The sequence below is a fragment of the Homo sapiens genome, chromosome 3 (genome assembly GCF_000001405.40).
Source record: "Homo sapiens chromosome 3, GRCh38.p14 Primary Assembly".
Taxonomy (NCBI): domain Eukaryota; kingdom Metazoa; phylum Chordata; class Mammalia; order Primates; family Hominidae; genus Homo; species Homo sapiens.
The window spans coordinates 73,677,345-73,690,687 of NC_000003.12; the positions used below are offsets into that span (position 1 = coordinate 73,677,345).

The window sequence follows — 13,343 nt, forward strand, 5'->3', positions numbered from 1 at the left end:
TTTATTGTAAAGTCTGCCTCTTTTTTACTCTTGTAGTCTCTGAAATGGTCTAGTGTTCTTATAGTGTATTCCTTTTTTAAAATGGAAACGAGTTTGAGCGGGTTTCTGTCACCCAGAACTCCCCCAAACTTGGAATTTTGAGATGAAATCAGCTAAGTGAGCATCGGCTTTCCAGACTTCAAGATGAAAGGAAGCGATGACAAAGGGGTTGGGAAAGAGAAAGAGAACAAAGATTGGTGAACTATGCTGTCCATTTTAGCATGGCTCATGAGCTAAGAATGATTTTACTTTTTTTAATGGATGGAAAAAAACAAAAGAATAAGAGTAATTAGTGACATGTGAAAATTATATGAAATTCAAATTCCAGTGTCCATAAATAAGATGTTATTAGAACATAGCTGCACCCATCATTTATGTATTGTTTATGGTCACTTTCATGCTACAATGACAGAGCTAAATAGTTGTGACAGAAACCATATGTCCTGAAAAGCCAAAAAGATTTACTATCTGGCCAACTACATCTGTACTGGTTCTTTTTTTTTTTTTTTTTTTTTTTTGAGATGGAGTTTTGCTCTTTCTCTGTAATTGTGGTTCACTGCAACCTCCACCCACCCAGGTTCAAGCTAATTCTCCTGCCTCAGTCTCCTGAGTAGCGGGGATTATAGGCGCCTGCCACCACGCCTGTCTAATTTTTGTATTTTTAGTAGAGACGCGGTTTTGGCTTGTTGGCTAGGCTGGTCTTGAACTCCTGACCTAAGGTGATCCACCCACCTTGGCCTCCCAAAGTGCTAGGATCACAGGCGTGAGCCATGGCACCTGGCCAACATCTGTACCAGTTCTGATCTTGGCTTCCTCATCTTCCTTACCTATGTGTTCTTTTTGATCTCATCTTTGAGGACCTTAATGAACGCTACTCCCCCAGTGGATTCTGGCTGTAGCTGTGTCTCAATTCCTCACTTCCAGTTGTCTGTTGTTCATGTATACTTGACTGTCCCATTGGCTCCTCAAACCCGACAGATCCCCAGTAGAACACATCAACTTCTTTCACTCCTGCGTACATACTTCTCATCTTGGCTACACCCTTGGGGATAAATATGGATAATAGAAACAGCTGAAACCACAAGTACATGTCACACTCAGGTGGGGAAAGCGCTGCAGGGGTTAGGTGGAGGCCACATTGTTAGAAGCATCCAGGTGAATTCTGTTTCCCTGTCCTTAGTCTTGCCAAGTTTATAATAATGAGGACGTGTATTTCCTATCCTTCCTAACTCTAACCTCTTTCTCCTGAACTTTGACTTGGTTCTCTGATTCTCAGACTGAAGTTTCTGAACTTGATTTTGTATTTTCTCATTCTGTCATTCTTGACCTTGACCTTTGTACATGTCCATAGCCTAAGTCCACCACATAGTGAATATTTATTAAAAAGTTATTGAATATTCAGTGCTTCATATATATTTAGTATAGTCCTTAAAGCAATCTTGTGACGAATGCAGGATTATTGTAAGTATTATTATAATCCATTTTCCAGGTGAGAAGTCTAAGTTTGGAGTTAGGATTCCAACCTGGTTTGTTTGGCTCCAAAGTACTACCCCAGCTTCTTCTTTCTTAAAATGCAAAATGATTTCTGTTCCCTTCTTTCCTAATTGTTTACTTTGAGGGTCCTGCTCTTGTAACTTACTTTAACACCTATACGAAGAGTCAGCAAACTTTTTCTGTAAAGGGCCAGATAGTAAATCTTTTTGGCTTTTTAGGACATGTGGTTTCTGTCACAACTATTTAGCTCTGTCATTGTAGCATGAAAGTGACCATAAACAATACATAAATGATGGGTGCAGCTATGTTCTAATAATATCTTATTTGTGGACACTGGAATTTGAAGTTCATATAATTTTCACATGTCACTAATTACTCTTATTCTTTGGTTTTTTTCCCCACCCATTAAAAAAAGTAAAATCATTCTTAGCTCATAAGCCATGCTAAAATGGGCAACATAGTTTATCAATCTTTGTTCTCTCTCTCTCTCTTTTTTTTTTTTTTTTTGTGTGTGTGACAGGGTCTTGCTCTGTCACCACCAGGCCACAGTGCAGTGGTGCAACCATAGCTCACTGCAACCTCGAACTCCTGGGCTCAAGGGATCCTCCTGCCACAGCCTCCCAAGTAGCTGGGACTATAGGTGCACACTATTGCCCCCAGCTAATTTAAAAAAATTTTTTGTAGAAACAGGGTCTTGCCAAAGGGGTAGCCCAGGCTAGTCTTGAACTCCTGGCCTCAAACGATCCTCCCACACCTCAGCCTCCCAAAGTGTTGGAATTATAGGTGTGAGCCAGCGCACCCAGCCACCAACCCTTGTTCTATACCACACTACTTAACTTTGGGTTTATAATTATTCTGAAAGACTCAACCATTTGCTGCCATTTAGGGCAAGCTTACTATACGTCAATGTTCTAAGCATTATTACATATATGTTACCTATTATTACATACATAGGAGAAAGGTACTGGTATCATCTCCATCTTACAGATGAAGAAAATGAGCCACAGAGAGATGAATTCCTTGTCCCAAGGTTGTACTAAACTAGGAAATGGTAGAGTTCAGATTAGAACCCAGGGGATCTCACTCCAGGTCTGGCATCTTAAGTACAAAGTTACACTGCCTCTCTGGTTCCTATGAGATAACGTACGTTAAAGAATTTTGAAAACTATGAGGGGTTATATAAATATAAGTGAATAACTATCATAATTATTCATGTTACATCTTTATCTGGGTTTCGAAAGTGATCGGATTGCAATCAAATTAATGTTAATCAAAATAAAAACACTCAGGCATGCTGTGGGTTGGTATTTATTTTTCTGTCCATCTTAGCATTAAACGTTTTTGAGCATTGGATTTCTATCTCAAATAAGCAATGGAGGAGACTTATGCTTTTAATGTAGTTTGCTATTTGCTCCCATCTTCCCTGAATTTGGCATTATGCCCCAGTCCTGATTAAAACCAAAATGAAGCTGCAGATAGGAAAGAAGTTGCATATCAATAAGGCTTGTGATTAAGTTTTTGTCAATTTTTTTTTCACTCTTTCATTTCTTTCAGGTTCTTAAATTAGATAGCAGGAGAGACATGACTTAATTACTGAGACTACTTTGGAGCCAAACGGAAAATTATACTACCACTTACTCAGATGCCAGGGTAATTAGAGCCCAATTATTTCTCTCATTTGGCACTAATGAATGAAGATCAATTAAAAAAATAATGTAACTGTGAATTGCTTTTATTGAGCAGAGAAACTGTAAGCAGCTGAAATCGTCTACTCTTTCACTAATTGAAAATACGAAGTGAAGGCAACCCAGAATGTGATTGTCTCCATGTAATTTTAGAGCAGTTCGATTTTCAAAAATCACACAGATGGCCGAAGCTTTGTATTATAATTATTTCCTGGCTACAGCACACTGCTCTCTCTTCTATAAGGGGAGTCAAAACATGGCTCAAGAAATTCCTATTTCCCTAGCGATAACATCAGTTTTTCTGGCAGGACTTTATTGTTGCTTCTGGGCTGGTCGTGCTTGGACTAAGATGGAATGTCTGATTTGCTTGGCTATTTCACTTTTCTCCTGATTGGTATATCCATTTCATCAAATGTATCCTGAAAACAACATTTATTTCACTGTAAAAATCTGATTGAAAGAGGTGTCTTCTTGATTAAAAATTTAGATTGAGATTATGTGGACATGGACCTACTTGCTCAAGGATACCTCGGAGTTCAGAGTTCACCTTTTAAATATCTGGTTAAATAGCAACCACTTAAAAAATGAGCCTACACTATTTTATTTTGTTTTATTTTGTTTTATTTTATCTAGCATATATTTTTTGAGGGAGGTGGTGTAAAAATTGTAATTCTTTACATTTGTTTGTACTCTGAATAAACATTCCCATGTAGTAAGTAGAGGGTAGGCTGGGAGCCTCCATTCTAGGGATAAAGTGAGCCATTTGTAACAATGGAATTCTGCTTATAGAAATGCAGCTAGTCAACCCTCTCACCCCACCCCAACACAGACACTCTCACGCCCTCTCTAATAAACTTTGCAATTCATGAATCATGTTTACCTCTATTATTTCAATACATCCTCAAATGACTTCAGGGAATAAGTTAGGTTTTATCTTCTATTTACAAATGAAAAAAATGAGGCTCCAGAACTTAAAGGGCACCAAAGCACCTTAGCCAGAGCTATTGAGTCTCACTTTGTGGTCTTTGTAAATGGTGCTACCCAGAGTTGAGCAGTGTGCAACCTGCACACTGAGACAGTACCCCCGTTTTGACAACTTCAGCTTAAAAGAAAATAAGAAAGGAAAAGCAAGAGAAAACTCTGAAATGCATGAGTCATAATAAAGACAAATCTTAAGAGATTTGTTCTCTTAGCATTTCCCCAAATAAAAAAGAAGTGGGTGTGACCAAGGTCTGAATCAGCTTTGGTCATTGGGGCTTAGCTAAGTGGCCAAGCAAGTGAGAACTCAGAAGAACACATTCTTCTGGCCTGGTGCACACGCCCCCGTATGTGGATTGTGCCATTACACTAATGCAGGAGGCCTGGGGATGGGGATTCTGAACTCAACGACTAGGTCAAGCTTGTCCAACCCACGGTCCAAGACGGCTTTAATACAACCCAACACAACTTTGTAAACTTTCTTAAGACATTATGAGATTTTTTTTTCTGATTTATTTACTTTTTAGCTCATCATTACTGTTCATGTATTTTATGTTTGGCTCAAGATAATTCTTCTTCCAGTGTAGCTCAGGGAGGCCAAAAGATTGGACATCCCTGCACCAGGTTTTGGCTTTTGCCTCTATGGTCCCACCAGCTGCAATGGACTTCTCAATTAAGCTCTTTTCATCATTGTCAGGGCCTATTGCAAAGTGAGAAACATGTGGAAGTAGGGCTTTTTAGCCTAGGACTTCCAGCAGCCAGGTGCCTCCAGTTATTACTGAAATTATTACTGCCAAATGAGGTCATCTATATAATCCTAGAGGTGCAGTGGTGGGATTAGAAGAAGGTCACATTTTTCTTGTGTCATAACTGCATCTCCCTACCTACAGTTTACCTTCTTTTGGTATGTCTTCATTAAAAACCCAGTGAAACATATCAAAAGCTTAAAAAAAAAAAAAAGGGAATAGCCTGTTTGTTGTTGTTGTTTATTGCTTGTTACGATTCTGGGAAACTTGCTCAGCATGTTGAGGATAAAGAGGAGATGAGGAAGAGGAACGGTGCAACTGTGAGGTCAGAAGGCTTGGGTTCAATTCTGAGTTGTCTGCATCCTAGGCCTTGAACAAGGCACCTCTCTTCATATCCTAGTTTCCTTGTCACCAAAATGGGGACAATTATCATTAACTTTCTTATAGTGTTGTTCTTGAAATTCATGAGACCTTGCAGGCAAAGGGCTAGGTGTAATACCTGCCCCAGAGTGATGCTTAGCATATCTGAGTGCTAATTATTTCTCTCTTTAAGATGAATGCCCCTATCTATGGGGAAACTGCAGGTGAGTGATGTTTTCCCAAAGGTATGGGGAGAAGGTAAAAATGGGAGCTCTGAGGCTGCTATGGCTGAAGCTGGCACTTGGTTGTTAATTAGTTAATTCAACAAATGTTTATTGCGTCCTGATATGAGAAGGCCCCTGCAAGGCAAGGGAGACACAGTGGTGAATGAAATAATTGTTGGGCCTTCAGAGAGCTTGCATTCTAGTGAGGGAAACAGAGAAATAGATCTTAAAAATACATACTAGAATATGTGCCATGAAGAATAATAAATCAAGGTAAGAGTCGGTGTGGAGCATTTGTATGTAGCAGGTGGCGATTCTGGGGGCTGTGTTATAGGGTGGATAGGGACCTCCTCTCTGATGGAGTAACAACTGAGCAGAGCTCTGAAGAAAGAGAGGTAGTCAGCCACAGGAGTAAGCGGGAAGTTGATTTCTAGAAAGAAGAAAAACTAAGTGCAAAGTCTCTGAGGCAGGAATGAAGTTCCAGAGGCAGAATAAGAACTCTGCATGTCTAGTGCAGAGGATGGATGTTGGCTGTATGTCCTGGTAGGTGATGAGGTTAGGAAGAGAAGCAGGCAAGCCATATATGTTTATGTGTAGACCAACTTAAGGACTTTGGATTTCATTCTGGCTGTATTAGGGTTCTCCAGAGGGAAAGAACTAATAGGATATACGTATATATAAAAGGGAGTTTATTAAGGAGAATGAACTCTCCTGATCACAAGGCAAAGTCCCACGATAGGCTGTGTGGAAGCTGAAGAAGGAAGAAGCCAGCAGTGGCTCAGTTTGAGTCCAAATGTAGGCAAGCCAACAGTACAGCTTTCAGTCTGTGTCCAAATGTAGGCAAGCCAACAGTACAGCTTTCAGTCTGTGTCTGAAGGCCTGAGGACCCCTGGAAAACCACTGGTATAAGTCCAAGAGTCCAAAGGCTGAAGAACCTACAGTCTGATGTCCAAGGACAAGAAGCGTTCAGCACACGAGAAAGATGAAAGCCAGATGACTCAGCAAGCCAGCTTATCCCACCTTCTTCCGCCTGCTTTGTTCTTGCTGTGCTGGCAGCTGATTGGACGGTGCCCACCACCACTGAGGGTGGGTCTTCCTCTCCCAATCCACTGACTCAAATGTTAATCTCCTCTGGCAACATCCTCACAGACACACCCAGAAACAATACTTTACCAGCCATCCTTCGATCCAATCAACTTGACACCTAATATTAACCATCACACTGGGTGTGTGATGGAAAGCAAATCAAGGGTTAGAGGAAAGAAATAATCTGATTTGCATTTCTAAAAGATCACTTTGCCTCCTGGGTGGAGGATTTTTTTCCAAGAGACAAGAGAGGAAGCCTGAGGATACTTAAGAGGCTAAGGCAGCTGTCAGTAAGAAATGATGGTGCTTTGGATGAGATTAGCAGTAATGAAGGATATGAGGGATGGTCTGATTTGGGATCAACTTTGAAGGGATCAACTGTGGAAGAATGTGCTGTTGGGTTGGATGTGAATGTCAGGGAAAGGGAAGAGCCAAAGATGCACGACTTCCAAGATTTTTGGCCTGAACAAATAGGTCAATAATGGTATTCTTTACTAAGGTGGGGGAGACTGGCAGCAACTGAGTGCAGATAATAACATCAAAAATTCTATTTGAGATGCCTATTAAGCAGGCACCTGGATATAGAAGTTTGAAGTTTAAAGGAGTCTTTCGACCTCGGTGTATTGAACTTGGGAGTCATTAGCATAGAGGTGGTATTCCAGATTTCATAATATACCTTAATATTGATCAACTCAAGCATTAAGTTTCACATGAGTCCCTTCCTCATATAGTCAATCATTGAATATTAAACTTTGCTGTGATTTTCTTTTTTTTTTCTTTTTTGAGACGGAGTTTCACTCTTGTTGCCCAGGCTGGAGTGCAATGGCGCAATCTCGGCTCACTGCAATCTCCACCTCCCGAGTTCAAGCTATTCTCTTGTCTCAGCCGCTGGAGTAGCTGGGATTACAGGCGCCCGCCACCACGCCTGGCTAATTTTGTATTTTTAGTTAGAGATGGGGTTTCTCCATGCTGGTCAGGCTGGTCTCGAACTCCCGACTTCAGGTGTCCTGCAAAATCATCTGGAGGAGTTTATTAAAAATATAATTGCCCAAAGCTGTATTTATCAGAAAAGTCAAGCTGCTTTTCATGGCTTTTATCTGTTAGTTTTTGTTTTGCATAATAAAGGTACACATAGGCGTACTTTTCCACGCCCTTCCTTGGGAGCCCTTCCAACATTTGAGCACTCATAATAATCATGGCTGTCAACCTCTGAACACACTTCATACTCCAGCCCTTAATCCCCAAAACAATAGGAGGATTCAGGGGTGCAGACAGCTGCAAGGGATCTAGTTACCAACACCAGGAAGCAGAAAGCAATGATGATGGTGTGGTCTTTACGTTGCTAATTGGAGAGTGTGCTGTCTGTATCTAAGGTGTTTCAGGAAGTCTGCTGAACCCAATGAATGTGTTCCCCTTTTATGAGAAATGTGCACTCTAGTGCTAAGTGCTTGGAAGTACTGCGGAGGACACTGCAGGAAAGGGTGGAGGTAGACATGAAGAACAATTTCAATCTTTCAGTTGTAATTGTGACTTAGGCTTAAAGCTGTGGCTTGGGAAGGCTCAGGACTCTGTTGCTTATAAAGGGCAAAACCCATACAAAACTGGCTTAAGCAAAAAGGGGAATTTACTGGATCATGTAGCAGAAAAGTTAAGCAATTAATTTCAAACAAGAATGGATCCAAGTGCTAAAATAAAGTTGTCATGAATATGTCTCTATTTTTTGAGACATGGATTGAGAAGCGGGCGAGGGTTATTCTGCAAATGCAAATTAAGTTTCTGTTACCAGAAATAAGGGGAAGGGATGATGGAGAGGCAAAAACAACAAATGTCCACTGTAGCAGGATAAGAAAGAAAGGAAAATGGGGACTTGATTTACACATGATTTGAAAGGTGAGATTTGTGTTTTTCAATGATATTTTAAAAACAAACAAATAAACAAAACAGGGCAATGGGCTCTCAGCAGAAAGGGTAAATGTGACCATGACTCGGACTTAGAAAGTTCTCTTTGTGACTTGGGGAGGAGAGGTCAGTATGGCAAAGGGTATGGCCTGACCTCTAGGGCTTTCTGGTCCTGTTTTATCATGCACAGCAGATTAAAAAGTTGGAAGAGGACTTGGGTTTCAGCATATATCTGATAAATGTTTAAGCCTCTAATCCTGTCATTTTTGCAAAGATGGTATTGACAGCTTGGTGCAGTAGAAAGGGAATGCGTCTCATAGCTCAATACGGTTTCAAGCCACAGTTCAGACTCTTAGTCATGTGACTTAGGAAATCTACTTTACCTGTCTAAGCCTCAGGCTTCTCATCTGCAAAATGGAGGAGCTAATGGAGTCTACTTCTGAGGGCTATGATAAGAGAAAACAAAAACCTTCATGAACTGTGCCTAGCACAGTACCTGGCATGTAGTAATCACTCAATAAAGGTAATGAAGCTACCTCTTCCTTCTCATCCTTATGATTACTGCTCTTCTTTTGGCTAAACTGAATTCATAGTGCATGATACAGTGCACACAAGCCTGACTCAAGGCATTTTATTATCTGCTTAGGCTCAAAATAATTATGTTTGTCGAGACATAACCATTTATAAACCCAAAGTCAATGGCTTAGCTTTGGGTGCCCAAAGACTTGGCTGTTTTACTTTGAACCAGGTAGTTGCATTAGTTAACCTGAGCCTCACTTGCCCCATCTAATAATCTTCATAAGGTTGTGAGGCTAGCATGAATAATTCATGTATTGGGTTTAACATAGTACCTGGACCTTATACAATTTCAATACAAAATAATAACAGTAATCATATTTATTATTATTATTCTCTAGCAATTTCTGCAAGGCCAACCTTGGGTCTTGTGTAAAGAAGGGTTCTGATGGAAAGGCAGAGTTGTCTCTTGAGGACAAAGCAGTTGTCACATGATAAGCCTTCTCCACCGTATGGGTCACCTTTCTCATCTTTGTTAGTTGGTTGGAATCTGACATCAGAATCCAGTTGCCTGTTGGGTTCCTTTTGAGGTGGGGACGTTGACTCCATTCCACCAATGATTTATTTGAAAATGCCTGGAAGTGGAGGGACACAAAATGTTCTGAAAAGTCAACGTGTGCATCTTGTCCCAGAGTGATTCCGTGACTGTTCGCTTGGTGTTTACATGGCTTAAACTGTCTAATTTATAGACTCTGAAAGCACCGGTGAAAGAAACAAACTAGCTTTTGGATCACTTAATATAGTTTATAGTGCAACTGTAAATTTGGAACCATTTATGGAACATTACGACTTGCAAACATCTCCCCCAGTTTTATTACTCAGGGAAAAAAAATGTGTGGTGCTTACAAATCCTCTAAAAACTGTAAAAGCATTAAAAAAAAAAAAATCCAAACAGCATTCATGGACTACATAGTGCAGGATGCAAGCTTTTATCTTGAGCAGTATATTGAAAGCCTAATTTTCTACTAAAATGTCAGCTTGTTTCAAAACACAGGAGATGACTGGCTTGGAATCCTTGCTGAAAAGAACTCGTCTTTGCTCTTTCTTCTTCCAAAAAAAGAAAAAAAAAAAAAAAAAAAAGAAATGCACTATGCTTAAGGAGGAATTTAGCAATTAGATGATTGCTATAAAATAGCAGTTGACATCTGCCCTATATATATTTTTTCTTAGCATCAAAGATGTTTAATTTGAATAAAAGCTTTCTCCTCCACAATCTGACATTTTCCCTGAGTTTTATCTTACTCTAGAGTCATTATCTTACAATTAGGTCTGAACTTAGGGGTAAAACAACAACAACAAAAACCAGGAACTCCAACACAGGGATCTTACTTGGGCTGCAGTTTTCTGATGTTATCTGAGTTGAGCTGCTTTTTATCATCCTGGCGTTTAAAGGGAAAAGTCTCTGTTCTGCCTCCTGTCCAACTACCCCCAGCCCAGACCTTATTCTTTTCACTTGAACCTGTGGAGTACGCCCAGACCTCTGGATGTCAGAACAAGATACTGCTATCATACAAATGAATGTGGAGGTCATGCATTTATCTTTGTCTCTGTCTCCCCTGCAGCATCCAGAGAAAGGCAAATTATGGATGAGGTGATTTAATCCAAGCAAAGTTTGAATGGAGATAAATGGGGTAGGGGGCAAATAGGAACAGAGCGAGGCTAGGGAGAGTCTTTGGGGAGAAGATTCTGTTCTTTTGAGTCCTATAACTGGCACCATGGAAGGGACCCTAGAGACAATCTAATGAGGCTCCATCATGGTGCAGAAGCAGTGCAGCATGGGATATTTGAAAGGGCAAATTCCTTCCATATTGTTCTTACACTAGAAGTTAAGGGCGCAGGGGGCATAGGTTAGGTGTGTGGGGTCTGGGGTCAGACCGTTTGCTTTGAGTCTTGTTTGTGTTGCTTTTTGGTTGTGTGTGGGCAAGAAATGTAACTTCTTTCAGCCGGAGTGCACCAGCTGCCAAATGGGGAAGAACAGTAGTTCCCACCTCATGTAGTATTGAGTGCATGACTTGGAGTAATGGGTGGGAGAGCACTTCCTGCCTTCCTTCCCTCATTCATCCCCTTACTTAACAAATAATTATTGAATATTTATGATGTGTCTAACCTCTTCTGGGCACCGGGGTTATAGTGATAAACAAGATAGTTGGGGTTCCTGATCTCATGACTTTTGTTAAAATTTTAACTACCATTATTATAATAAATGAAGAAGACTGAAATTCCAAGAAGCTGAGTCATGCAGCTATGCAGCTATATTAATAAAAGGGCTCAAATAGAGCGGGGTCTTGAGTCTCCAGTCCCATGCTTACTCCTCCACCCCCCACCAACACGATGTTGTGCTCTACTTTATTACCCTCAATTTTCTTGGTAAAGAAAGGTGTTTTTTTTTTTTAAAACAAAAACAAAAACAAAACTTTATTTTTAAAGCAGTTTTAGATTTATAAAAAATTTTTGAAGCTAGCACAGATAAATTCCATATACCTCACACTTGGTTTCCCCATTATTAAAATCTTATGTTAGTATTGGTACATTTGATTCAATTAATGAACCAATATTAATGCATTATTATTTTACTAAAGTTTATACTTTACATACTTTATTCAGATTTCCTTAGTTTTTTTTTTTTTCCTCCAGTGTTCTTTTTCTGATCCAGGATCCTATCCAGCATGCGACATTGAACATCGTTTTCTATGCTCATTTGCCATGTGTGTCCTATTTGCCCTTACACCTTCTTTTGTGTGATGTCTGTTCAGACTCTTTGAGCTTTCTAAAATGGGTTTCTTGGTTCCTTACTGTTGAGTTTTAAAGTTTTTTATATATTTCAGATACAAGTCCTTTTATTTTAAATACAAGTCCTTTTAAATGTGTTTTGCAAATATTTTCTCCCAGTCTCTTACTTGTCTTTTAATTTTTCTTAATAATGTTCCTCACAGAGCAGAAATGTTTAATTTTTATAAAATCTAACATCAAATTTCATTCATGGATTATGCTTTTGGTGTTAGGCTCAAAAACTCATTGCCAAATCATGGTTACTAGATTTTTCCCTACATTTTTATCTAGAAACTATATATTTTTGCATTTTACATTTAGTCTAAAATCCAGTTTTTTATGAAAGGCATAACATCTCCCTCTAGATTCATTTTTTTTTTTCAATGTAGATGTTCAGATGTTACAGGACTATTTGTTGACAAAACTAACTTTTGTCCATTGAAATGCCCCTACTCCTGGCCAGACTGGGTGGCTCTCACCTGTAATCCCAGCACTTTGGGAGGCTGAGGTGGGCAGATTACTTGAAATCAGGTGTTTGAGACCAGAACATGGTGAAACCCTGTCTCTACTAAAAATAGAAAAATTAGCTGGGCATGGTGGCACACACCTGTAATTCCAGCTACTTGGGAGGCTGAAGCAGGGGAATTGGTTGAGTCGGTGAGGTGGAAGTTGTAGTGAGCTGAGATCAGGCCACTGAACTCCAGCCTCTGTCTCAAAAAAAAAAAAAAAAAAAAAAAAGCTGCTGCTTCTTTGTCAAGGGTCTGTTGCCTACATTTGCATGAGTCTATTTCTGGGCTCTCTATTCTGTTCCATTGATCTATGTGTCTATAGTTTCCTCAATACCACGCTGTTTATAAATCTTAAAATTTGGTAGTATGAGTCTTACAACTTTTTCTTTTTTTTCTTTGTGTTTTTTTTTTTTTCATTTTGTTTTTGTTCTTACTCCTTACTATTGTATTGGATAATCTAGGCCTTTTGCCTTAGTGTGTATGTGTGTGTGTGTATTACATGCATTCTAATATATACATATTAGAATGTGCATTTTATGTATGTATGAATCAGTTTGTCAATATCACCAAAATAGCTTGCTGGGCTCTTGGTTGGGGTTTTGTTGAATTCTGAATTCTAGATCAAATTGGGATAAATAGAATTTTCCAATCCATGAATACAGAATATTTCTCTATTTATTTACATGTTCTATTATTTTTTATATCAGAGTTTTGTTCTTTTTCACATATAGATCTTTTACATTTTAAAATATTTATATCTATGCTTTTTTTTGATACTACCGTAAATGGCAATCAAAAAAATCAAATTTCAATGGTTCATTGCTGGTATATAGAAAAACAGTCGACTGGCCGGGCATGGTGGCTCACACCTATAATCCCAGCACTTTGGGAGGCTGAGGCAGGCCGATCACGTGGTCAGGAGATCGAGACCATGCTGGGTAACATGGTGAAACCCCGTCTCTACTAAAAAAATACAAA

At 39.5% G+C, this 13,343-nt stretch overlaps 1 long non-coding RNA gene across 1 annotated transcript in view; it reads right to left on the minus strand.

The window, feature by feature from the left end:
* Window positions 1–915: 915 nt before the first annotated feature.
* The window catches only part of LOC105377164 (uncharacterized), a 28,764-nt gene continuing 16,336 nt past the window's right edge, over window positions 916–13,343 (minus strand). Inside the window, exon 3 of the long non-coding RNA XR_001740755.1 lies at window positions 916–1,081. This is a non-coding gene — a long non-coding RNA (uncharacterized LOC105377164). The remainder of the gene's footprint in view (window positions 1,082–13,343) is intronic.